The following is a 2,071-nucleotide window of genomic DNA, read 5'->3' on the forward strand; positions in this document are numbered from 1 at the left end:
TGGTACCAGTTGTTCCTTTCCATGTTTAGCACTTCCTTCAGGAGCTCTTTTAGGGCAGGCCTGGTGGTGACAAAATCTCTCAGCATTTGCTTCTCTGTAAAGAATTTTATTTCTCCTTCACTTATGAAGCTTAGTTTGGCTGGATATGAAATTTTGGGTTGAAAATTCTTTTCTTTAAGAATGTTGAATATTGGCCCCCACTCTCTTCTGGCTTGTAGGGTTTCTGCCAAGAGATCCGCTGTTAGTCTGATGGGCTTCCCTTTGAGGGTAACCCGACCTTTCTCTCTGGCTGCCCTTAACATTTTTTCCTTCATTTCAACTTTGGTGAATCTGACAATTATGTGTCTTGGAGTTGCTCTTCTCGAGGAGTATCTTTGTGGCGTTCTCTGTATTTCCTGAACCTGAACGTTGGCCTGCCTTGCTTGATTGGGGAAATTCTCCTGGATAATATCCTGCAGAGTGTTTTCCAACTTGGTTCCATTCTCCCCATCACTTTCAGGTGCACCAATCAGACGTAGATTTGGTGTTTTCACACAGTCCCATATTTCTTGGAGGCTTTGCTCGTTTCTTTTTATTCTTTTTTCTCTAAACTTTCCTTCTCACTTCATTTCATTCATTTCATCTTCCTTTCCTGATACACTTTCTTCCAGTTGATCGCATCGGCTCCTGAGGCTTCTGCATTCTTCACGTAGTTCTCGAGCCTTGGTTTTCAGCTCCATCAGCTCCTTTAAGCACTTTTCTGTATTGGTTATTCTAGTTATACATTCTTCTAAATTTTTTTCAAAGTTTTCAACTTCTTTGCCTTTGGTTTGAATGTCCTCCCGTAGCTCAGAGTAATTTGATCGTCTGAAGCCTTCTTCTCTCAGCTCGTCAGAGTCATTCTCCATCCAGCTTTGTTCCGTTGCTGGTGAGGAGCTGCGTTCCTTTGGAGGAGGAGAGGTGCTCTGATTTTTAGAGTTTCCAGTTTTTCTGTTGTTTTTTCCCCATCTTTGTGGTTTTATCTACTTTTGGTCTTTGATGATGGTGATGTACAGACGGGTTTTTGGTGTGGATGTCCTTTCTGTTTGTTAGTTTTCCTTCTAACAGACAGGACCCTCAGCTGCAGGTCTGCTGGAGTACCCTGCAGTGTGAGGTGTCAGTGTGCCCCTGCTGGAGGGTGCCTCCCAGTTAGGCTGATCGGGGGTCAGGGGTCAGGGACCCACTTGAGGAGGCAGTCTACCCATTCTCAGATCTCCAGCTGCATACTGGGAGAACAACTGCTCTCTTCAAAGCTGTCAGACAGGGACATTTAAGTCTGCAGAGGTTACTGCTGTCTTTTTGTTTGTCTGTGCCCTGCCCCCAGAGGTGGAGCCTACAGAGGCAGGCAGGCCTCCTTGAGCTGTGGTGGGCTCCACCCAGTTCCCGCTTCCTGGCTGCTTTGTTTACCTAATCAAGCCTGGGCAATGGCGGGCGCCCCTCCCCCAGCCTCGCTGCCGCCTTGCAGTTTGATCTCAGACTGCTGTGCTAGCAATCAGCGAGACTCCGTGGGTGTAGGACCCTCCGAGCCAGGTGCGGATATAATCTCGTGGCGCGCCGTTTTTTAAGCCCATCGGAAAAGCGCAATATTCGGGTGGGAGTGACCCGATTCTCCAAGTGCCGTCCGTCACCCCTTTCTTTGATTAGGAAAGGGAACTCCCTGACCCCTTGAGCTTCCCGAGTGAGGCAATGCCTCACCCTGCTTCGGCTCGCGCATGGTGCGCGCACCCACTGACCTGCGCCCACTGTCTGGCACTCCCTAGTGAGATGAACCCGGTACCTCAGATGGAAATGCAGAAATCACCCGTCTTCTGCGTCGCTCAGGCTGGGAGCTGTAGACCGGAGCTGTTCATATTCCGCCATCTTGGCTCCTCCCCCCGGTAAGTAATGTTTGATATATTAATTCCACAGACTATTCTACAGCAGAGAAAACAACTGAATAATAGCTATATGAAATGACATGGATGAGCTGCAAGATGTAAATCAAGCGAAAAGAAAAACTGAAGAAGAATATACAACTTAATTCTATTGATGCATATTTCAAATAAAACAGGAA

At 47.4% G+C, this 2,071-nt stretch overlaps 1 annotated feature.

Moving 5' to 3' along the window:
* Positions 1,034–1,640: an enhancer, noted in NCBI's record as "OCT4-NANOG-H3K27ac-H3K4me1 hESC enhancer chr5:161463099-161463705 (GRCh37/hg19 assembly coordinates)". NCBI's record gives its function as "activates a minimal SCP1, AML or CMV promoter by ChIP-STARR-seq in naive and primed H9 embryonic stem cells {active_cell/tissue: H9 hESC(naive and primed)}" and the evidence as "EXISTENCE:reporter gene assay evidence [ECO:0000049][PMID:30033119]".

Source organism: Homo sapiens, chromosome 5 (genome assembly GCF_000001405.40).
Source record: "Homo sapiens chromosome 5, GRCh38.p14 Primary Assembly".
Lineage (NCBI taxonomy): Eukaryota > Metazoa > Chordata > Mammalia > Primates > Hominidae > Homo > Homo sapiens.